This window comes from Homo sapiens, chromosome 2 (assembly GCF_000001405.40).
Source record: "Homo sapiens chromosome 2, GRCh38.p14 Primary Assembly".
NCBI lineage: Eukaryota > Metazoa > Chordata > Mammalia > Primates > Hominidae > Homo > Homo sapiens.
Genome location: NC_000002.12, coordinates 24,811,025 through 24,831,399, shown reverse-complemented (window position 1 = coordinate 24,831,399; position 20,375 = coordinate 24,811,025). Strand labels below are relative to the sequence as shown.

General features: G+C 48.9%; 2 protein-coding genes across 37 annotated transcripts in view, besides 4 other annotated features; one reads left to right on the top strand and one right to left on the bottom strand.

Moving 5' to 3' along the window:
- ADCY3 (adenylate cyclase 3) overlaps positions 1–12,231 on the top strand; it is a 101,069-nt gene extending 88,838 nt beyond the window's left edge. For 6 of the 31 annotated variants that reach the window (NM_004036.5, XM_017003187.2, NM_001377128.1 and 3 more), the window contains 10 exons: positions 575–691; positions 3,239–3,498; positions 3,792–3,854; positions 5,274–5,355; positions 6,864–7,022; positions 8,045–8,191; positions 8,770–8,889; positions 9,760–9,883; positions 10,552–10,676; positions 11,286–12,231. In NM_004036.5, coding sequence (NP_004027.2) covers positions 575–691; positions 3,239–3,498; positions 3,792–3,854; positions 5,274–5,355; positions 6,864–7,022; positions 8,045–8,191; positions 8,770–8,889; positions 9,760–9,883; positions 10,552–10,676; positions 11,286–11,468 — 1,380 coding nt within the window. In that variant the 3' untranslated portion in view covers positions 11,469–12,231. Of the gene's footprint in view, positions 1–574; positions 692–3,238; positions 3,499–3,791; positions 3,855–5,270; positions 5,356–6,863; positions 7,023–8,044; positions 8,192–8,769; positions 8,890–9,759; positions 9,884–10,551 lie in introns of all 31 variants that reach the window. The other 25 variants (NM_001320613.2, XM_011532491.2, XM_006711925.2 and 22 more) reach the window with 12 other exon arrangements.
- Positions 4,816–5,374: an enhancer, noted in NCBI's record as "H3K27ac-H3K4me1 hESC enhancer chr2:25048895-25049453 (GRCh37/hg19 assembly coordinates)". NCBI's record gives its function as "activates a minimal SCP1, AML or CMV promoter by ChIP-STARR-seq in primed H9 embryonic stem cells {active_cell/tissue: H9 hESC(primed)}" and the evidence as "EXISTENCE:reporter gene assay evidence [ECO:0000049][PMID:30033119]".
- Positions 5,375–5,934: an enhancer, noted in NCBI's record as "H3K27ac-H3K4me1 hESC enhancer chr2:25048335-25048894 (GRCh37/hg19 assembly coordinates)". NCBI's record gives its function as "activates a minimal SCP1, AML or CMV promoter by ChIP-STARR-seq in primed H9 embryonic stem cells {active_cell/tissue: H9 hESC(primed)}" and the evidence as "EXISTENCE:reporter gene assay evidence [ECO:0000049][PMID:30033119]".
- Positions 8,346–8,890: an enhancer, noted in NCBI's record as "NANOG-H3K27ac-H3K4me1 hESC enhancer chr2:25045379-25045923 (GRCh37/hg19 assembly coordinates)". NCBI's record gives its function as "activates a minimal SCP1, AML or CMV promoter by ChIP-STARR-seq in primed H9 embryonic stem cells {active_cell/tissue: H9 hESC(primed)}" and the evidence as "EXISTENCE:reporter gene assay evidence [ECO:0000049][PMID:30033119]".
- Positions 8,891–9,434: an enhancer, noted in NCBI's record as "OCT4-NANOG-H3K27ac-H3K4me1 hESC enhancer chr2:25044835-25045378 (GRCh37/hg19 assembly coordinates)". NCBI's record gives its function as "activates a minimal SCP1, AML or CMV promoter by ChIP-STARR-seq in naive and primed H9 embryonic stem cells {active_cell/tissue: H9 hESC(naive and primed)}" and the evidence as "EXISTENCE:reporter gene assay evidence [ECO:0000049][PMID:30033119]".
- Positions 9,024–20,375, bottom strand: part of CENPO (centromere protein O) — a 28,952-nt gene continuing 17,600 nt past the window's right edge. For 4 of the 6 annotated variants that reach the window (NR_136183.2, NM_024322.4, NM_001322101.2 and 1 more), the window contains 5 exons: positions 16,907–17,024; positions 15,644–15,903; positions 14,583–14,754; positions 13,559–13,730; positions 9,024–12,046 (listed from right to left, as the gene is read on the bottom strand). Coding sequence is in view for 3 of the 6 variants with exons in the window: in NM_024322.4 (NP_077298.1) it covers positions 13,594–13,730; positions 14,583–14,754; positions 15,644–15,903; positions 16,907–17,024 (687 nt within the window). In the remaining 3 variants the exon portion in view is untranslated. The remainder of the gene's footprint in view (positions 12,047–13,558; positions 13,731–14,582; positions 14,755–15,643; positions 15,904–16,906; positions 17,025–20,375) is intronic. The other 2 variants (NR_136182.2, NR_136184.2) reach the window with 1 other exon arrangement.

The following is a 20,375-nucleotide window of genomic DNA, read 5'->3' as shown; positions in this document are numbered from 1 at the left end:
ATGAGTACGGCAGAGTCTGGGTAAACAAGAACCTGGGTAGAGAGGAAGTGGAGGGCCGGCTGGAAGGTGGGTTGGCCCCGATGGTGAAGGCCCTTAGAAGCCAGACTAAAGGGATTAAAACTTTCTCCTGTAAGGCACTGAGGTACCAAGCAGAGTTTTTTTTTTTTTTAATCAGAATGACAAAGGTAAAGCAGTGTTTAGGAACATAAATCTGACAGGTGGCTCGCCAGGTCACTTGGAGCCAGGATAGGCAGGAGTAGCTGGCCAGAGACGAGCAGCCCTGAAAACTGTTCCTGCCCTGGCCTCACCTCGTCACCACGTCTGCTGTGGAAAGGGCTGCGACCTGGAGGCTGTGCTGTTGAACAGGCACATCGAGGAGGTCCAACACAGCGTCAGAACTCCCACGCCCTCTTCTCAGCTCTGCCCCTTGGTCAGCTGTCAGGTGACTCCCAGGCAGAGTCCGTTTTGAGGCTCCTGGGACTGGAATACGGGACCAGCCTGAGTTGCTGTCAGTCACGTCGCAGGAGAAAGGACTGGCAAAGGCTCATGGCCCTTGAAATTCTGTTCCTTCTAGGCCTTTCCTAAGAAGCTTGTGGCCTTCTCAACTTGGATTGACCGGACCCGCTGGGCCAGGAACACCTGGGCCATGCTCGCCATCTTCATCCTGGTGATGGCAAATGTCGTGGACATGGTGAGCTCCTGCTGTCCTTGTTGAAGGGACGCCCCTGTTCTCAGTGGAGAAGGGCTTCTGTTTGGGTCACACAAGCAGTTTCTCAGTCCATCCCTCCACCGTCATGTAGCTTTGGAGTGGCTCTTAGGTTCCCAAACACATCATCCCCACCTAGTGGAAGGAGTCTTGTCCCTGTCATCCAGGGAGCCTCTGGGATGGACTTGTTTCCTTGAAGCTCCTCTCCCAGAGTCCGAGAGCACAGTTCCATGTGCCCAGGCCTGTGCTAGGTACCTTATGTATGTTGATTCATTTAATCTGTGAAAAAGTCCTGAGCAGTTGTACCAGTATCTGCAGTTTCATAGGGAGAAACTAACTCTCAAAAAGGGTAATTGGTTGGGCGCGGTAGCTCACGCCTGTAATCCCAGCACTTTGGGAGGCCAAGGTGGGCGGATCACGAGGTCAGGAGTTCGAAACCAGCCTGGCCAACATGGTGAAACCCCATCTGTACTAAAAATACAAAAATTAGCCAGGCATGGTGGTGCACACCTGTAATCCCAGCTACTTGGGAGGCTGAAGCAGGAGAATCGCTTGAACCCAGGAGGCGGAGGTTGCAGTGAGCCGAGATTGAGCCGCTGCACTCCAGCCTAGGCGACAGCAAGACTCCGTCTCAAAAAAAAAAAAAAAAGGTAATTCACTTGCTCTAGGTCACACAGCCAGGAAGTGACAGAGTCCAGAATGGAGGCAGTTCTAAGTCCCAGTCCTGTGTATTCTTCCTCCCTGAGGGGGCAGCCAAATGCTTTCTTGGGGAAAAGGGACAGGAGTTGGGAGCCCAGATCTATTGGTTTAGAACCACTGGGCACGTATTGAGCACTACATGCCTGGAGCTGTCATCAGTGTTCTCTTGTCAGTTGTCACGGCCTCCTCTAATTGTGGTAGTACCATATACACTATCTTCCTTTTTTTTCAAATATAATGTTATTGTTGTACTTTAACAATTGGAGCACACGGTGCCGGGCGCAGTGGCTCACGCCTGTAATCCCAGCACTTTGGGAGGCCAAGGCGGGCGGATCACGAGGTCAGGAGATCGAAATCATCCTGGCTAACACAGTTGAAACCCCGTCTCTACTAAAAATACAAAAAAATTAGCCGGGCGTGGTGGCAGGCGCCTGTAGTCCCAGCTACTCAGGAGGCTGAGGCAGGAGAATGGCGTGAACCCGGGAGGTGGAGCTTGCAGTGAGCCGAGATTGTGCACTGCACTCCAGCCTGGCAACAGAGTGAGACTTTGTCTCAAAAAAAAAAAAAAAAAAAAAAAAAAAATTGGAGCACACAAATACAACCAACATGGAGACTTATTCTGCCAGTGGTATAAGTGAAAAAGCTCCAGGGCTGCAGCTAATCAGAAGTCCAGTGGGGGGCCGGGCGCGGTGGCTCACACTTGTAATTCCAGCACTTTGGGAGGCTGAGGCAGGCAGATCACTTGAGGTCAGGAGTTTGAGACCAGCCTGGCCAAGATGGTGAAACCCCGTCTCTACTAAAAATACAAAAATTAGCCAGCCACAATGGCACGAGCCTGTAATTCCAGCTACTTGGGCAGCTGAGGCAGGAGAATCGCTTGAACCTGGGAGGTGGAGGTTGCAGTGAGCCAAGAATGCACCACTGCACGCCAGTCTGGGCGACAGAGCGAGACTCCATCTCAAAAAAAAAAAAGAAAAAAAAGAATAAGTCTACTGGGAATGAGGAGTTAGGGGCTCCAGAGCCTACCTTGGCCAGGGGTTGCTGGTGCCCACTACCCAGGGAAGAGAAGCCCCAGGCCCCCTGCATGTCACAACATGCCTGGAACCTGGCACCCAGGTGTGGAGGTCACCACTGCATGGGGTCCTGGACACTGTACAGGACACCTGGAGATGCTGTCACTCATGGAGGGGTAAAAAGCTAGGGAGGTGTAACAACTGCTCATGCTAGAATGACATGGCGGGAATCGCGCAAGCAAGACAAGGTTGCCCTGTGGGTGAAAGTTACAAAAAGGGGGGGTTGATTCCGGTTCTGGATGCGCTTTCTCCCGGCCGCATCTGCCCAGTAGCAGAACCAGTAAAGAATCCAGAAGGCAGTGAACATCCCCCCAATGGAAGGATTTGGGCAGAGACTAGCTGTCATCACGGGGAGGCTGTGAGTGGGGCTCATGGTCCCGTGGCCCCTCCTGAAGCAACAGTGTGATATGGGGAAGAACATGTTGGATTTGAAGCCTAAAGACTTGGCTCCTACTTTTGGCTTTTCTGCTTGCTAATTGTGTTTGGGCAAATCTGGCCCGAGTTTTCTGTACAATAGGGACAGTACTAAAAATACTCGAGAGAGTTTTTGTGAATGTCAAATGAGGCAACGGCGAGGCTCTTAGCTGCAGTTACTAACTTTCATATGATTAGTCCCTGGTAAATTTCCCCATCTTTCCCGGTATTTCTGGGGGAGCCGCGGGAGGTGGCAGCTGAGCGTGCACTACCATGCACAGCCCTCTGTGACCAGCACCTGCTGTTCTCTTGAACGTGTGTCCCTGCCCGCCGTCCTGGCCTCCAGCTCAGCTGTCTCCAGTACTACACGGGACCCAGCAATGCAACGGCAGGGATGGAAACGGAGGGCAGCTGCCTGGAGAACCCCAAGTATTACAACTATGTGGCCGTGCTGTCCCTCATCGCCACCATCATGCTGGTGCAGGTCAGCCACATGGTGAAGCTCACGCTCATGCTGCTCGTCGCAGGCGCCGTGGCCACCATCAACCTCTATGCCTGGCGTCCCGTCTTTGATGAATACGACCACAAGCGTTTTCGGGAGCACGAGTAAGATGAAGCGTGACTGGGGATCTGTATTGTCTCCTTCCTCCCGCCCGCAAAGTCCTCAGTTCAAGCTCATGGGCCTGTGCTGAGGTGGCTTTCTGCCACTAGGGGTCCTCAAAGGCTTGTTCAAGAACCAGTTCCTGGCTGCTCACAGACGTATCACTGTTTGGCTAGGACCTGAGAATAGATTCTTCCCATTCTCCCCGAGTGGAGGACTTGGGATACCCCGGTGCCTGGCTGGGCATCAGGCTCTTGTTCCCAGATGGGGCCTGACTGTGCTGTTATCTGTCCAACAGCTTACCTATGGTGGCCTTAGAGCAGATGCAAGGATTCAACCCTGGGCTCAATGGCACTGACAGGTAAGGGCCACGGCTTCCCCTCCTGGCCTGCACTCACAGCCCTTCTTCTAGAGACAGGAATATAACAGGCCCAAGCCCCGGGATCTCACCCTCCCGGGAGGCACGTGACCTGATACGTGCAGGTTAGAGAAGCTGGCATGGGTTCCTCCAGGAGGGCTGCAGCAGTGCAGTGAGGAGGGAAGGAAATACCAGGTGGATGGCAGCTGCATGTAACTGGCTGGCAGGACAGACAGGCAGCAGGAAAATGAGGAGGGAGGAAGACGCTTTGGATTTGGACCTGGCTTCTGAGCCTGCAGCAGGCAGTAATTCTCTGTGGGTCACAGGCAGGTCCGTTTCCATGAGTTGCAATTTCATCTCTTGAGGAGGATACTGAACCAGAAGTTCTCTAAGGTCCCTGCCAGTGCCAAGGTTTTAAAATTTTATGATTCCATGACTTGAACAGACCTTCAAGGAAGTTTAGAAATAAAAAGATGACCTAATAGAAGAGGGGTAAAACCTGCATAGCCCTTAGCAAAAGAAGAACTCTAAATGGCCACTAATAAATGGCACTCAAGTAATCAAGGAAATGCCAGTTACACCCTAGTGAGATACCATCACACACGTACCGGTCCAGATAACTCTGACAATATCAAGTACAATAGTAACTCTTACACTCCTGGTGGGAGTATGAGTTAGTACAACCGTGTTAGAAAATATTTTGATCTATTTAGTAAGGTTGAAAATAAACCTGTGTCCCAGCAATTCCACTCCTACATACACACCCACGCAGACGTGTGTATATGTGTATATATATATATACACACATCTTAGAGAAATTCATGCACATACTCATGTCCCAGGATATATGTATGAGAATGTCCAAAGTGGCACTGTTCGTAATAGACATACCCCCTCCCCCAAAACAAATGAAAACAACCCAAATGACATCAACAGGAAATGGATACATAACTGGTATATTCATGCAGTGAAATACCATACGGTAATGGAAACTAACCACAGCTCCACATAAAAATATGTATGAACAAGGTAAAAAGCCATGGTGAGATTGTACCCCAGTCCCATGGCTATGAAATCCCATCACTGATGTCTCTTGCTTCTCCAAATTCCTGCATGGTTGTAGCTACCTCTGTGATCAGTCAGGCAATGCAGTGTTTCTTAAATACCTGGGGAGCAGCCCTGATGTGAATACCAGGTGCAGCCAGGAGGGGCCAGGGGTTGCCTGGCTGTTGGAGAGGAGCCCAGTGAGTTAAGAAAATTTTACTGCCCGGGGGAGCCCGACTTGATGTGAAAGGGCCTAAGGAGCCGGGGTGAGCTCTAGGGCTGGGGTGGCAGGAAGCAGCACCATCTAGTTGGAGGGAATCAGGCCCCCTCCAGGAGGCAGATGACAGCCCTTTCAGTTGCACACGCTCTGCCCAGCAGGCTGCCCCTGGTGCCTTCCAAGTACTCTATGACGGTGATGGTGTTCCTCATGATGCTCAGCTTCTACTACTTCTCCCGCCACGTGAGTGCCGCCTGCACGATCCCCGCTCTGTGCCCACAGCCCACAGGGCCTCCTGAGAAGCAGCCCTGGGACCTAAGAGCCCAAGCTCCTAAGGAATGGGGCTTCCCTTCACCCAGCCCCACACGTGAGCCTGGTCAGGCCACCGCCTTCTCTATTCAGGCTCCTTCCTCAGTCACACAGGAAGACAGTTCCTCACCTCTTCCGTCCGACCCCCTCCAGGATGGTGAAGGAAGCATGGGAGTGAAGGTGGGAGGGGATAGAGTGAAGGCACAAACATCTTGAATCAAATCAATATCCCCTAGGCCAGGGGCTCATGGCCCCCGCACTCCCCGTGGCGCTGAGGGACATTAACACAACTGACCACAGAGCCAGAAGAGAAAGAGAAGGGAGCTGATGGACTTTCTGTTGGGTTAAAAGGAAAAGAGAAGGCCGGTGCAGTGGCTCATTTTGGGAGGCTGAGGGTGGAGGATCACTTGAGTCCAGGAGTCTGAGACCAGCCTGGGCAATATGGTGAAACCCTGTCTCTACTAAAAAATACAAAAATTAGCCAGGCATGGTGGCCCGCACCTGTAATCCCAGCTACTTGAGAGGCTGAGGCAGGAGGATTGCTTGAATCTAGGAGGTTGAGGCTGTAGTAAGCTGAGATCACACCACTGCACTCCAGCCTGGGTGACAAAGTGAGACACCCCCCCCGCACCCCCCCCCCCCCCGCCACAACCACCGCACTCAACCGGACAAAAAAGGAAAAGAGAAGGAAGAGAGGGAAGAGAAAGATCCTCTGTACTTAGGGCCCAATGTTAGTTCAAGTGCCCCCTACTGGCTTTCCAGGGAAGTACAGCCTTCCCAAGCCACTTCTTACCCAAATGGCGCCTGCTAGAAAGGGGGACTCCACCCTGAGTTGGGAGATCCCCACTGCTGCCACCTCCACGAGACAGACCTGCAGCTGAAATTAGGTCCCAAGAGGCCCCCTACACACGGAAGGCCTCCTGGATCTCTGCTGTAATTACGGAGGCTGGGAACCGCACCACTATTGGGTGGCCTTTTGATGAGGTGCAATCTTTGCAGGGTCTTACTTCCCTTGCCATTTAGCCATCTTCCTTCCAGCCTTTCCAAGGGGAGTTCCTCCATTCACGTTCCTGTTTTTCTTCTTTTTTTGAGACTGAGTCTCACTCTTTTGCCCAGGCTGGAGTGCAGTGGTGCGATCTCGGCTCACTGCAACCTCTGCCTCCTGGGTTCAAGTTGATTCTCCTGCCTCAGCCTCCCGAGTAGCTGGGATTACAGGTGCCCGCCACCATGCCCGGCTAATTTTTGTATTTTTAGTAGAGACAGGGTTTCACCATGTTGGTCAGGCTGGTCTCGAACTCCTGACCTCAGGTGATCCGCCTGCCTCGGCCTCCCAAAGTGCTGGGATTACAGGCATGAACCGCCACGCCTGGCCATTCCTGTTTTTCATCCTTCTATCCAGTGGCCAGCTTAGAGCACATGCCTCGCCTTGTCTGTGTCTGTAGGTAGAAAAACTGGCACGGACACTTTTCTTGTGGAAGATTGAGGTCCACGACCAGAAGGAACGTGTCTATGAGATGCGACGCTGGAACGAGGCCTTGGTCACCAACATGTTGCCTGAGCACGTGGCACGCCATTTCCTGGGGTCCAAGAAGAGAGATGAGGTGAGGGGTGTGGTCTCAGCCCGGAACCATGAGGCCATTTGTCTCCATCTGTTCTTTCTTTCAGGCAGCCCCCGCTGGGCCCAGGCCTTCTCAGGGACAGGGGACTGGGGCCTAGGTAGGGCTGAACCTAAACAGCAAACACAAATAAGCAAAAGAGGAATTTCTCCGGCCTCTTATAAAGTGCACTGCTGTAGGCATCGTGATGTGGGCCGTACAGCTCTGAGGCCATGTGTCAGAAGACAAGACTTTGGCTAGAGCCCACCTTTCTGTTGCCTGTGAACTTCTCCAAACAGAGTGGTTCCCAGCTCTACGGTACCCTCGTCTTCACAGCTGGGGCTGTTAGAGGAACTAGAGAAGCTGTTTTAAAATTTATTCAAAGTAGTGGCCGGGCACAGTGGCTCATGCCTGTAATCCCGGCACTTTGGGAGGCCGAGGCGGGTGGATCATCTGAGGTCAGGAGTTTGAGACCAGCCTGGGCAACAAATAGTGAAACCCTGTCTCTACTAAAAAATACAAAAATTAACTGGACGCGGTGGTGCACACCTGTCGTCCCAGCTACTCGGGAAACTGAGACAGGAGACTCACTTGAACCCGGGAGGTGGAGGTTGCAGTGAGCTGAGATTGTGCCACTCAACTCCAGCCTGGGTGACACAGCAAGACTCCATCTCTCAAAAAAAAAAAAAAAAAGTAGCGATGAGCTATTTTTAAATTATTCAGAGTTGGAATAATCTACAGCCGGGCATGGTGACATGTGTCTGTGGTCCCAGATACCTGGTGTTCAAGGCCGCAGTGTGCTTCGATCATACCTAATTGTGCTTGTTTACTGCCACTGCACTCCAGCCTGGGAAACACAGCAAGACCCACTCTTAAAAAAAAAAAAAAAAATGCTGGAATAATCTGACTGATGTGTGAGTCCAAAAAGCTGAGTGCACATGTCATGCATGGAAGATAGATGCATTTCTCCAACACATCATCCAGTCAGTCGGACATGCTTTGAGCACGTTGTCCGCACCTCTTTTTAGGAGCTGTATAGCCAGACGTATGATGAGATTGGAGTCATGTTTGCCTCCCTGCCCAACTTTGCTGACTTCTACACAGAGGAGAGCATCAACAATGGTGGTATTGAGTGTCTGCGTTTCCTCAATGAAATCATCTCAGATTTTGACTCTGTGAGTGCCCATCCCACCCTGCACTCTGGCCATGAAGCCGGCCCATTCCACATCACATCCTACAATAGGCTGCAGAGGCCAGAGAAACTGGCTTCATTTTCCCAGATAAGCCCCTTCCGCAATACATGGACTTCTGCAGCCACCTGGAACTGCTGGGCTGGGGAAGGGGAGGTGAGGTGGGAGCCCGGGAAATCACCCACAGGGTCACAGGATAAGGATAAGGACTGGCCAAGCAACATCTCGAGACCTCTCTGTCCTGGGACTGTCTCCTCAAATTCAGAGCCGGTCAGCATTGACTGGGTGACCTGTATACCAGGGAGAATGCTTTTACACACGCGCGGAGCCCCCCTAGGAGACTGCCGATTTTATGTCAGTGTTGAGGTTGTGGAAACAGGCCCAGAAAGTTAGGAAGTTCTCCCAGGATCATGTGGCAGATAAGCGGTAGACTAAGTAACAACTTTGATAGGAAAGTGTCTCTTGGGTTTAGTGGGGTCCTTGTAAACAGGTACATCTGTCACTGGGTTGGGTCATTCCTCTCCCTTGACTGCTGACAATTCTTTCCTGAATCCTGGCCTCAGCTCCTGGACAATCCCAAGTTCCGGGTGATCACCAAGATCAAAACCATTGGCAGCACGTATATGGCGGCTTCAGGAGTCACCCCCGATGTCAACACCAATGGCTTTGCCAGCTCCAACAAGGTAGCTAACCCCAGTAGCCAGAGAGATGAGGCTCTGCCCCCAAGGCAAGAGATTGGCAGCCCAGACCTAGCATGGGGGAAATAAGAACTGCTGTGCAAAGTGGTCCCAGACACACACCACCAGCACCACGTAAATATAAATAAGAAATAGGGTTTATTGAGAAAGTTCGGCAAGCAGAGAAACAGAACAGACACACAACCCCCTGCTGTTCACAGCTCAGGCCTAAGATGGTTGTGTTCTGTGGCCAGGCCCCCTAAGGCTCTGTGCTTTCATAGGAACTGGAGAGCAATTGTCAACAAGGGAAACTGAAAGCATGGCCTTCAGAACTCTGGCTGACGGCAGCCTGTTCTTTTGTTAAGCTAATTTAGACCTTTGTTCAGCTACCAGGAGAGAAAATTAGGTGTAGGAGCCCTGGTCCCAAGCTCTGGTCTTAAAACACCATCATCCTGCTTTACCTCTACAACCATCCCACGGCCCTATTATATGGATGAGGTTAAAGAAACACGTCCAAGGCGGGTCATCCCCCTCCAGTGCTTATCACCTAGTTGAGGGATCCAAACAAGGACAACCTGACAAAACCTAAGGACCAGGACCAGGCCCAGCCAAGGTGAAGGGGTCCGCCTCGTGGTCAGACTCACAGGTCCGTCTCCTCTGCTCAATTGCCCAGTCTTTGCCTAGACCTGCTACGTGAACTTTGTCACAGTGGCAAGTCAGAGCTAGCGTGGCTGCGACTCCTTTGTGGGAGGAAAAGTAAGGCCTTGAACATCTAGGTGTAGGGAATCCACCCCCAGAACACTGCCAGGGAAGGCAGCAGAGCAGGCTGCTGCAGTGAGCGGCCCCTGACACTTTCTCCACGGTCCCCTGGCACAGGAAGACAAGTCCGAGAGAGAGCGCTGGCAGCACCTGGCTGACCTGGCCGACTTCGCGCTGGCCATGAAGGATACGCTCACCAACATCAACAACCAGTCCTTCAATAACTTCATGCTGCGCATAGGTGAGCACCCCCAGCTGGCCTGCCCCGCAGCAGGCTCCCTTCCCATGCAGGGGCCTGGCCCACCACCAGGAGAGACATGAGGCTCAGGACAACTGAGGCAATTCGGGTGGGGAGGTTCACGCACTCACAGGGCAAGGAGACCTGAAAGACCTTTAGTCCAGACGACTCTAGATGACTAAACCAAAAACCCAGCTGATGTGATGATCCGACTATACTGTGCCTACTGTTACAATAGAAGCTTGGCCTGCCTGGCTGAGAAGTGAGTTTGTGATCCATTTCCAGAGGGGTTGCTGTGCCTGCTGAGGACATGGCTTCCCAGACAGGCCTGCTCTTTGAAAGGAGTTAAGATCACCTGCTGCTTCTACTGAGGGGGTATCATTCCTGAGTGAGGTCCCAGGAGACTTGAAATACCAGCTGTGTTAGAAGCTGGCCACTACCATGCCGAGTAAATCTGCATATGGGGGGGGGGTGGCGGCTGACACCTAACAAGCACACGGATAAACAGGAGATGTGATTTCCACCCTCCAATAGCATACAGCCAAGTTGAATGAGGACAATGATGTGTTACATTAGGAGCTTTGTGGTACAGGTCTGGAGAGGAGATGGCTTCTGAGGCCCATAACAAGGTGTGGCCTGTGGCTGTGCTGAACTTTATGCCTCTACCCTAGGCATGAACAAAGGCGGGGTTCTGGCTGGGGTCATCGGAGCCCGGAAACCACACTACGACATCTGGGGCAATACAGTCAATGTAGCCAGCAGGATGGAGTCCACGGGGGTCATGGGCAACATTCAGGTATGTCCAGTGGCACAGCTGGCACGTGCTCAGACTCGGCATGAGAACAAAACCGGAACAGTGCTTTCCCACGTGCCCCTGCCTCCCACCCTGGCCCTGAACAGTAAGTCCAGAGGCAGAGACGTGGGGCAAGTGGAAAAGAATCTCTGCAATAGCTAGCCTCAGCACAGGAAGAAACACTTCCACCCATCCACAAAATCTGGGCTGAAGTTCTAGATGCATATGGCCTACCTTTGGGTATGAACCTTCTAATACCTTGTGATCTGTCTCAGTGGCGTCTGGCAGAAAAGCTCCACGAAAGGGGCAAAGGGACAGAAGAGCAGGCAGTGGCAGTTTCCAGGTAACAGTGCTGCCACCCAGGTGACCATGGCCATCCTAGGAGAGAAGTCTCTGGATGAGAGGAGGCCCCCAGCCAGTCACTCCAGGGTTCTCCTTCCCACCCGCTGCTCGCCACGGGTGGAAGGGCTTGGCCCTGGGAGGTTTGGGGAGTGTCCCGTACTGCTTGGGACCCATGGATCAGTGCTCGGCTCCAACCACCCAAAGCCCCCACCCGCCCTCAGTCTAGGCTCCCCCCGTAACGCCACGTTCTTGCTCCCCCTCCCTCTCCAGGTGGTAGAAGAAACCCAAGTCATCCTCCGAGAGTACGGCTTCCGCTTTGTGAGGCGAGGCCCCATCTTTGTGAAGGGGAAGGGGGAGCTGCTGACCTTCTTCTTGAAGGGGCGGGATAAGCTAGCCACCTTCCCCAATGGCCCCTCTGTCACACTGCCCCACCAGGTGGTGGACAACTCCTGAATGGCCTCGAGCCTGCAACAGTCCAAACCGGAAGGGAGAATTTATTTTTTGAAACTGAAGGAAGTCCCGACCTTCCTGGATTGAAGTGCACACTCATGGACTTTAGGTTTAGAAACCTCCTCAGCCTTCATTTGTTCGTGGATGTGTGAGCTCTGAGGGTGGCCCTGCTATTCCTGTGTGTGCCTGTAGTGTCCCCAGCATAGGGGTCTTAGGCATAGGGCTGAACAGTCCTTCCAGAGCCCTCGTTCCAATCCCTGCCGTCCTTGCCCCTGAGGGGCCCTGACCACTGTGAGCAGGAGGGTGGCAGAGCTGGGACAAAGCTGCCTTTGCCGCTGGGCTTTCCGGGACTGTGGAGGGAGCACAGGCGGGGAAGCTCCACTTCAGACAGGGCTTGGTGGGGCAGGACATGGCTCCCATTTTGAAGGGAGGTCTCCATGTGGTCCGAGTGAGGTGAGACGGCCCTCGTCCTGGTGTTCCTGATCATCTTGAAAGGTTCTTCTGGAACTCCTGTCCCCTTAGTCATGAGAACAGAAAGTGCAATATTTCCTTTCACCTGGCAGGGGAGGGGGGATTTATTTCTGAAAGAAAAATATATAAACAGATCTTCTACATTTATATTTTTAATCTTCTGTTAAATACACTTTCCGATATTGCCTTGCCTTTTGAGCTCTTGCTACAGTCGCCTTTGCTACTGCTTTAAGAGAATTTACAGGTATTGATAAAGAACAAGACTGTTTTATTAAAAGCTTTATTCAACTTGAAAGTGATTGTGGAAATTCTGTTAATATCACTTATCTGAGGAGTGCTGGTACTTTGCTGACTCATGCCACTGGTCCCCACCACAGGCCTGGAAGGCAAGAGCTTGAAGGTCTCATCATAGCTCACTGTACCCCGGAACGCCTGCTGCCTGGCCCTGTCTCTTTTATTCTTAAACTTTCTTCTAAAGGGTACTCCAAGCTGGCTTTAATCCCCTGCACTGTTCCTGGAGCTCTCCCACACGGAGGTTACTTCGTGGCCATTGCAGGGTTAAGTCTGAACGTGGCCTTGGGCCAGTCATGACTCCTATCTGTGCCTGGGCAAGGGAGGGCTACAGGAGAACCTGGTCAGCCAGACACAGGTTTTCATATCTGTGAGTGACCCACACGCCAAGGAACCAGAGGTGCCAGCAGGTCAGAGGCCCGTGGTTACGGCAAATCAGGACACTAACCGGAGAGCCTGCAGGAGAGGGAAGACCCGGGGGGCGCCTGAGTCCCCCTGAGTTAATGGGCAGATTTCTAACTAACTAACTGTGCTTTTTCAGAGGGGACTTCCTAGTACATTCACAGCTCTACTAAACTTTTAGGAAACAAAATATGAGACACACTGAACTCTGATTATTTTATCCTACTGCTTTCTCACACCATATTTATAAAGCAGTGGCCTAGAATACACTGCGCCTAACCAAACAAACACTGAAGAACTTCCTTTTCAAAAGTTTCAAACAGGAAAATGAGGAAAAATTACTTAAAGCTTTCATAAAAGCTAAAAATACTTTCCTTTTAAAAAAAAAAAAATATTGGGTCTTCCTTATTATCTTCATTAGTGAATGTGGGTTATTTTTCCATTTATTTAGATCAGTGTTTCTCAACAGAATCAAGCTATTGCAGTTTGAGTGGAGTGCTACATTTCTGTGAGAGCCCTTTCTGAAAATTTTAGGATTTTTGGCATCTCTATTCCTGGCATTAAATTAGTAGCAGTTACTGTGACAACTTAATTGCCTGGTCTTTCCCAGAGTTAATGCCCTCAATAATTTGATATTTTTCCATAAGTACTTCTTGAGTGATACACCTTTTTCAAAAAATGGCTTTTATTGCCCCACAAATGATTTTCAACTAAAATGTATGATCAACTAATACCTTTAAAAAACATCTTGAGCATTTTAAGAAGGGACCAGGTGATCATGGGAATTGTTCAAAAATGCCAGTGTCTATACTCAAACCTGCTCTTCCATCCAGATGAACAGGTAGGTGTCTGTTTTCATCAGAAGGGTGATGTACCCTTCATCAGACAGTACTACCCACCTGGTACTGTCTTCAGTACTGGTTACTTACCTCTGATGTGCTCCCAGTGCAGTGAAAACAATCTATTAGGAGACCAGACTCATATCCAACTTTTCTCCTTTTCTTGTAAATGAGGCAAACACTTGATGCAAGGGCTTCGTACAGAACAGAGTTTCATGAGATGCTCGTTGCTCCTCCCATGAAGTGGATAATACTTCCACTCCTAAAAAGAAAGATTCCATCAATCTCATTCAGTGCAGCTGGGGGAATCGGAGCCTGGATCACTGATATTCAATCTCATTCAGTGCAGCTGGGGGAATCGGAGCCTGGATCACTGACATTCAATCTCACTCAGTGCAGCTGGGGGAATCGGAACCTGGATCACTGATATTCTGGACCCACTGGACCCATACAGCTTTTTTTTTTGGTCTGGACTAAGGCTGCCCCTTACTGGACCAATGCAATCTAGAGACTGGGGACTGGAATCTAACTGCGCAGAGAAATCAAAGACCGATGGTGTGAAATCTGGGGCAGCTTCAAAATTTCTGCCTCCTAAAAACATTTCACCCAATTTTTCATTATTGCCCATGTCACATTTAACTGAAACAGGTTCACCAAAAAATCTCTCTCTCAGCCAGTCTGGAAGGATTTCCATTTAGAGACTGCTCCGTAGGGAGGAGTAAGTGTGTGCTGACGTGTCATGTCCATTTGTCTTCACAGTGAAATGAGTCTTCTGGCTCCATCCACCATAACTGACCCATGACTCAGCCTTATCATTAGGTGTCTTTCCTGAAGCAGGGCCCCCAGTGAAAACAAATCATAGGCTGCGAGAACACTGCTGAGGTGGGTGGGCAAAGGAGAAGGGAAAATGGGGACAATCATGTTTACCATTTACAAAGAGGAAGGAAAAGACTGGTAGAAACAAGAATGTTCTATCTTACCGGTCTGAGTAATGTACAGTATATAAACAGAGAAAGTGTCTCAAGAGGTCTACTTCATGGATTCTACCTATTTTCCCTGTTTCACTCAAATAAACTGGGATATGAGAATTTCTGCACTGAGGCACCCTTCTTACCTTGACATGTCACGGTGACGTCAGTGGGAAGAGTTGCTGTGAGGTCCTTATACAGCAATCTAGCACAGAACGGGAAGGACTGACCCCCTGGATCCAGTTTGTAAGTAAATGACAGCAAGTTACACAGTGGGTTTCTCTGCAAGGGCCCAGTCAGGAGGGCTGCAAAGTCACTCTAAGAGGGGTGAGGAACAAAACGAAGTAGAGGATGACTGCAGTTCCAAAGGTGGTGTTTACTGACCCTTCAATTACGTCAACCAAAAAGAGGCCCATCGATTACATTTCAGAGAAATAAATGAGGGACAGAAAAAGGTCTGAAAAAAGGACTAATGAAAAAGATGCCTAAGATAACTAAGAGTCACTGGCAGCCTGGAAAGGCCTATAGGCCTAAATGGCCAGGGGTACAGCTTCGCAAGAGACTGTTTCTGCAGAAACTTCACTGACGTTACACGGCTAAGATGCTTCATGACTGCATCCACATTTCAATTTAAGTTAAATCTACAGCTGAGAGCTTCAGAGTTACTCCAAATCCATAGAGGGGGAAATGCTAAGCTTGTAGGAGGCACTTACAGCCTATTTGCATTAATTTCCTATCTACTTTTTTCACCCAACCTTAGCTCAACTGCAACCCAAAAAGGTAGGCTAGAGTTTAGGGGAAGATGGACAGCATTGTTCCATGGCACTGCAGAAACCTTTCTTCTCTAATGAGATCTATACCCAAGGTTCAGCAAGGCACTCGGTATGGTACATAGTAGGCACGCCATAAATCCCTGATGGATCAAAAGTATAGCAACTGCACTCTGTACAATCTTACGATAAAAGCTTGAAGACCACCATTCAGGGGTGCATAATCCTTTAACCAGTACCCAGGCTTCAACGCCATCCAGAGTTTCAAAAGAAAAGAGGGTGGGATAGTGCTTTTATATAAATAAGAAACAAGCATCGGAAAGGTAACGGTCAAACTTCTAACTCACAGTTAGGAAACACTGAAAATACAAAAAACATCCCCCTTTTAAGTTGATCTTGGGCCCACGGATGAGGCATATAACATCCCAGAGAGATACCTGAAGCCGGTCTGCCTGGTACTTCCTCCCAGAGTAAGCATTCAGGTACTCGCAGAGACTGAACAGGAAGTGCTGGATGTTGGTCTGTAAATATTTTGCAGCTATCTCTTCCAGGGGAATGAAGACTGGGACTGAATGGTGATGTATCCGGAGTGGTTTCTGTATGACAAGGTCCACAAAATAGGAATCCAATAGGTTCCCCTCAAAAGCAGTACTGATGCAGACACAAACTCCTCGGCTGGTCAGTTTACCACTGAGGCCTGAGGCAAACAAGAAGACACCTCAATAGACAGCAGGCCAAGGTGATGTCTTACTCATCTGTGCCTCCAGTAGCTTCCACAGTGCCTAGAATATGTACACTTTGTACACAAATGTTTGTTCAATGAGTATCATAGGCTCATTCTTCCCCTTGGCTCCGGCTCACTTTGAGACTGAGTTGTTAAAACCATGGAAGAATGGTAAAAATGAAAAAACAACCTAAATGTCAAACTATTGAGAAATTTTTTTTTTTTTTTTTTTGAGATAGGGTTTCACTCTGTCACCCAGGCTGGAGTGCGGTGGCACGATCTCAGCTCACTGCAACCTCAACTTCCTGGGCTTAAATGATCCTCCCATCTCAGCCTCCCAAACAGCTGGGACCACAAGCGCATGCCACCTCACCTGGCTCATTTTTAAATTTTTAGTAGAGATGAGGTCTTGCTATGTTGCCCAGGCTGGTCTCGAACTCCTGGACTCAAGTAATCCTGCCTCAGCCTCCCAAAGTGATGGGATTACAGGCATAAGCAAGGCCAAAAATTTAATTTATAGCTATTCTTTATTTCTGAGTGTGAAGTAATTTGTCAGAGTCCCCAGTTCTTCCCACAACTATCTTGTGGCATAGATGGGAGAATAAATCCCTATTTACGGTGAAACGGAGACTTGGAAAGTTCAAACTATTTCACTAGTGGCAGAAAACAAGCCAGCAGTAAAGACAGTTCTAGTACAAGGTCTGGCACATGACGAACTGTTAAGATGAGTGGAATAAGCCAGCCACCAACTGAGCTGCTGTACAAAGGGGCCAGTCAATCTTGTAGGTGAAGATAGGCCTACAAATAGCACGTCAGCTGTGTGTGTGTCTGTGTGTGTGTGTGTGTGTGAGTGATGAGGGCAGAGGGTGTAAAATACTATAAATTATGAAATAATTCCAGGACTGATAACACATCTAGCAAACTAACTCACTAGAGGCAGACCCAGACTAAATTAGGTTAAAAAAACAAACAAAACCTGTAAAATGATATGCCTGCAGAATGGCTTTCACATTTTCCAATTTCTCTTCCAATGCTTCTTGCTCATTGATCTCCACTGTTTGGTTGGGTTCTACATTGGCAATACATGCTTTCACCTGCAAGATATGCAGCAAATCAATCTTGGTACAAAGAGGTACACTACAACATCCCCGCCCTCCCCCAACTGGATGAAAGCTAAATACAAGGCACATGATATAATACATCAAGAAATGCTACAGTGGCCGGTCAGTTATTGCTATGAATTCACTGCAGAGGAAGAATCTCATGGGTCACAATGCCAGGAATCAGAAGTGGAGACTGTACAGGTCTGAAGAACAATTCGATTTTTGATGGGAATGGACAGGACTGAGAGAGCAGCAAGAAAAGGTTGTGTGGAAAGTCTAGGCTAAGCACAGGGTGGACACAACAGGTGGCTGTGAAGAGGCAAGGCTGGGTAAGTTGTGCTTGGACAGTGTGGGGTTTCAAGTGCCAGGGCTCCAAGGCTTACGCTGCTAGCTATGGCCCAGCAGAAGGTACCAGGCTGACCCGCCCTCTGAGAACAACTATGCAAGCTGGATAAAATACCAAAAAGAAACAAGCAAGCAAAGAGAGCAAATGGTTTGAAGGCATTCCAGAAGGATCCAAATAGCCAGGATTGGAGAGTACTGACAAATGCTCTGAGCTGGCTTCCCTGCAGCCTCTGGCCTCAGAGCATTTCCTTATTCATATGCAAGGCACACTGGGCCACATAGAAAGGCATAAACTAGACTCCGCAGCAGTCTCATCCGGAACAAACACTGGACATTAATGGTATCAAAGCAGACTTTCTACGGGCCAAGATTCCATAGAAACAGGAACTCAACGTTCTGCTTGCAATCTTCCCTCCCGGCATTTGCTAATTCCTAAGCTGCACAGGTGTGACTGGGGACTGAGAAACCAAACGGAAAGAAGCTGCTAAAGGGGAAAAAGCCAAGCAGAGATTTTGCTAGAACAAAATGTGGATTTCAGGGCCTGCCAGGGAACAGGAGCCTTAATAGACCCATCTCCAACACACTCCCAAACTTTCAACTGAAGGTCCTAAAAAAAGCTAAGCCCTAGGAGTAAGGGAAACCGGAAATAGACCACCTCAACTGAATAAAGGTGATGTGCCCATACACGATCTACTTGCCAGAAAAACACTAAAATTTCCTCTGGAGGAAGATAACATACTCAGAACCCATATATTTTTCCTTCTTTCTTTCTTTTTTCCAGACAGAGTTTTGCTGTTACCCAGGCTGGAGTGCAATGGCACAATCTCGGCTCACTGCAACCTCCGCCTCCCGGGTTCAAGCCATTCTCCTCCCTCAGCCTCCCGAGTAGCTGGGATTACAGGTGTGCGCCACCACGCCTCGCTAATTTTTGTATTTTTAGTAGAGACAGGGTTTCACCATGTTGGCCAGGCTGGTCTTGAACTCCTGACGTTAGATGATCCACCCGCCTTGGCCTCCCAAAGTGCTGGGATTACAGGCGTGAGCCACAGCACCTGACCTCCGTATATTTTTTCATACACAATACTCATCATTGAATTAAAAAAAAAAAAAAAAAAAAAACTACAGGCATACCAGGAAAGAGAAACAGATGACTGAAAGCCAAGAGGAAAAAGAAGACAACAGAACAGATGCCAAGGGATTCAGCTATTTCAATAATGGGGCATGGCCATTAAAACAGGCTAAAAGATGGAAACCCAGACCAAAGAGCTGGAATCTATACAGAAAAGAATGAGACGGAAATCTTAGAACCAAAAAAATACAGTAACTCAAATTAGAATTTTAATAGATTTAAAAGCCAACTAGACAAATAAGATCTTACGTGGAGTGGAAAGTAGGCATATTTTCCATATCCAGATTAAAGTACAGAGAAAAAAATAAGATTAGAAAATTACTAAGACATAGGTCACAGAAAACAAAAACAAAAACACCCATACATGGGAGCCCCAGAAATAGAGAAAAACTGAGAAGATGCACTATTTAAAGAGATATTGGCCAATGTTGTAAAACAGATGAAAAACATCAATTAAAGAAGCTTTACAAGCACCAAACAGGATAAAAAAAAAAATCATGCTTAGCCACATTGATCTAAAATTGCTAAAAACCAAAGACAAAGAAAATCTTAAGCCCGAAGAAAAAGACATATTATATTCACAAACATAAGATTAACACCTGACTAATAAGGCCAAAACTTCACACCTGACAAGATACTATGGCCCTAGAAGACAACAGAATGATATAAAGTTTGAAAGAAAATAAATTCTAATATCTAATTATATACTCACCAAATATACTCTTAAAAAATAAAAAACATAGTGAAATAAAGATGTCTTCAGTCAAACAAATATGGAGATTTTACTGCCAGCGATACCAAAAGAAGTACCAAAAGGAGCTACTTAACTGAAAGAAAATAATCGCAGATGGAAATGTGAAAATGAAGAGCACTGAAAAGGGTAAATATGTGTCTAACACTAAAGGAATGTTGACTATACGTGACAAATAAGACAATAAAATACTATGGTAGATTGAGATCCAAATAGATCAGTAATCACATTAAAAGTTCATGGACTTGCCAGGCGCGGTGGCTCACACCTGTAATTCCAGCACTTTGGGAGGCCAAAGCGGGCAGATCATGAGGTCAGGAGTTCAAGACCAGACTGGCCAACATGGTGAAACCCCGTCTCTACTAAAAATACAAAAAAATTGGCCGGGCGCAGTGGCTCACGCCTGTAATCCCAGCATTTTAGGAGGCCGAGGCAGGTGGATCACGAGGTCAGGAGATCAAGACCATCCTGGCTAACGTGGTAAAACCCCGTCTCTACTAAAAATACAAAAAACTAGCTGGGCGTGGTGGCGGGCGCCTGTAGTCCCAGCTACTCGGGAGGCTGAGGCAGGAGAATGGCATGAACCCAGGAGGTGGAACTTGCAGTGAGCCGAGACCGCACCACTGCACTCCAGCCTGGGCGACAGAGCGAGACTCCGTCTCAAAAAAAAAAACAAAAAACAAAAAACAAAAAATTAGCTGGGTGTGGTGGCGGGCATCTGTAATCCCAGCTACTCAGGAGGCTGAGGCAGGAGAATCGCTTGAATCAGGAGGCGGAGGTTGCAGTGAGCTGAGATAGTGCCACTGCACTCCAGCCTGGGTGACAGAGCGAGGCTCCGTCTCAAAAAAAAAAAAAAAAAGTTCATGGACTAAATACTCCAATTAAAAGACAAACATTGGCCAGGCATAGTGGCTCACACCTATAATCCCAGCACTTTGGCAGGCCAGGACCGGCAGATCACTTGAGGCCAGGAGTTCAAGACCAGCCTGGCCAACATGGTGAAACCCTTGTCTCTACTAAAAATACAAAAATTAGCCAGGCGTGGTGGTGCACGTCTGTAATCCCACCTACTTGGGACGCTGAGGCATGAGAATCACTTGAAGCCAGGAGGCAGAAA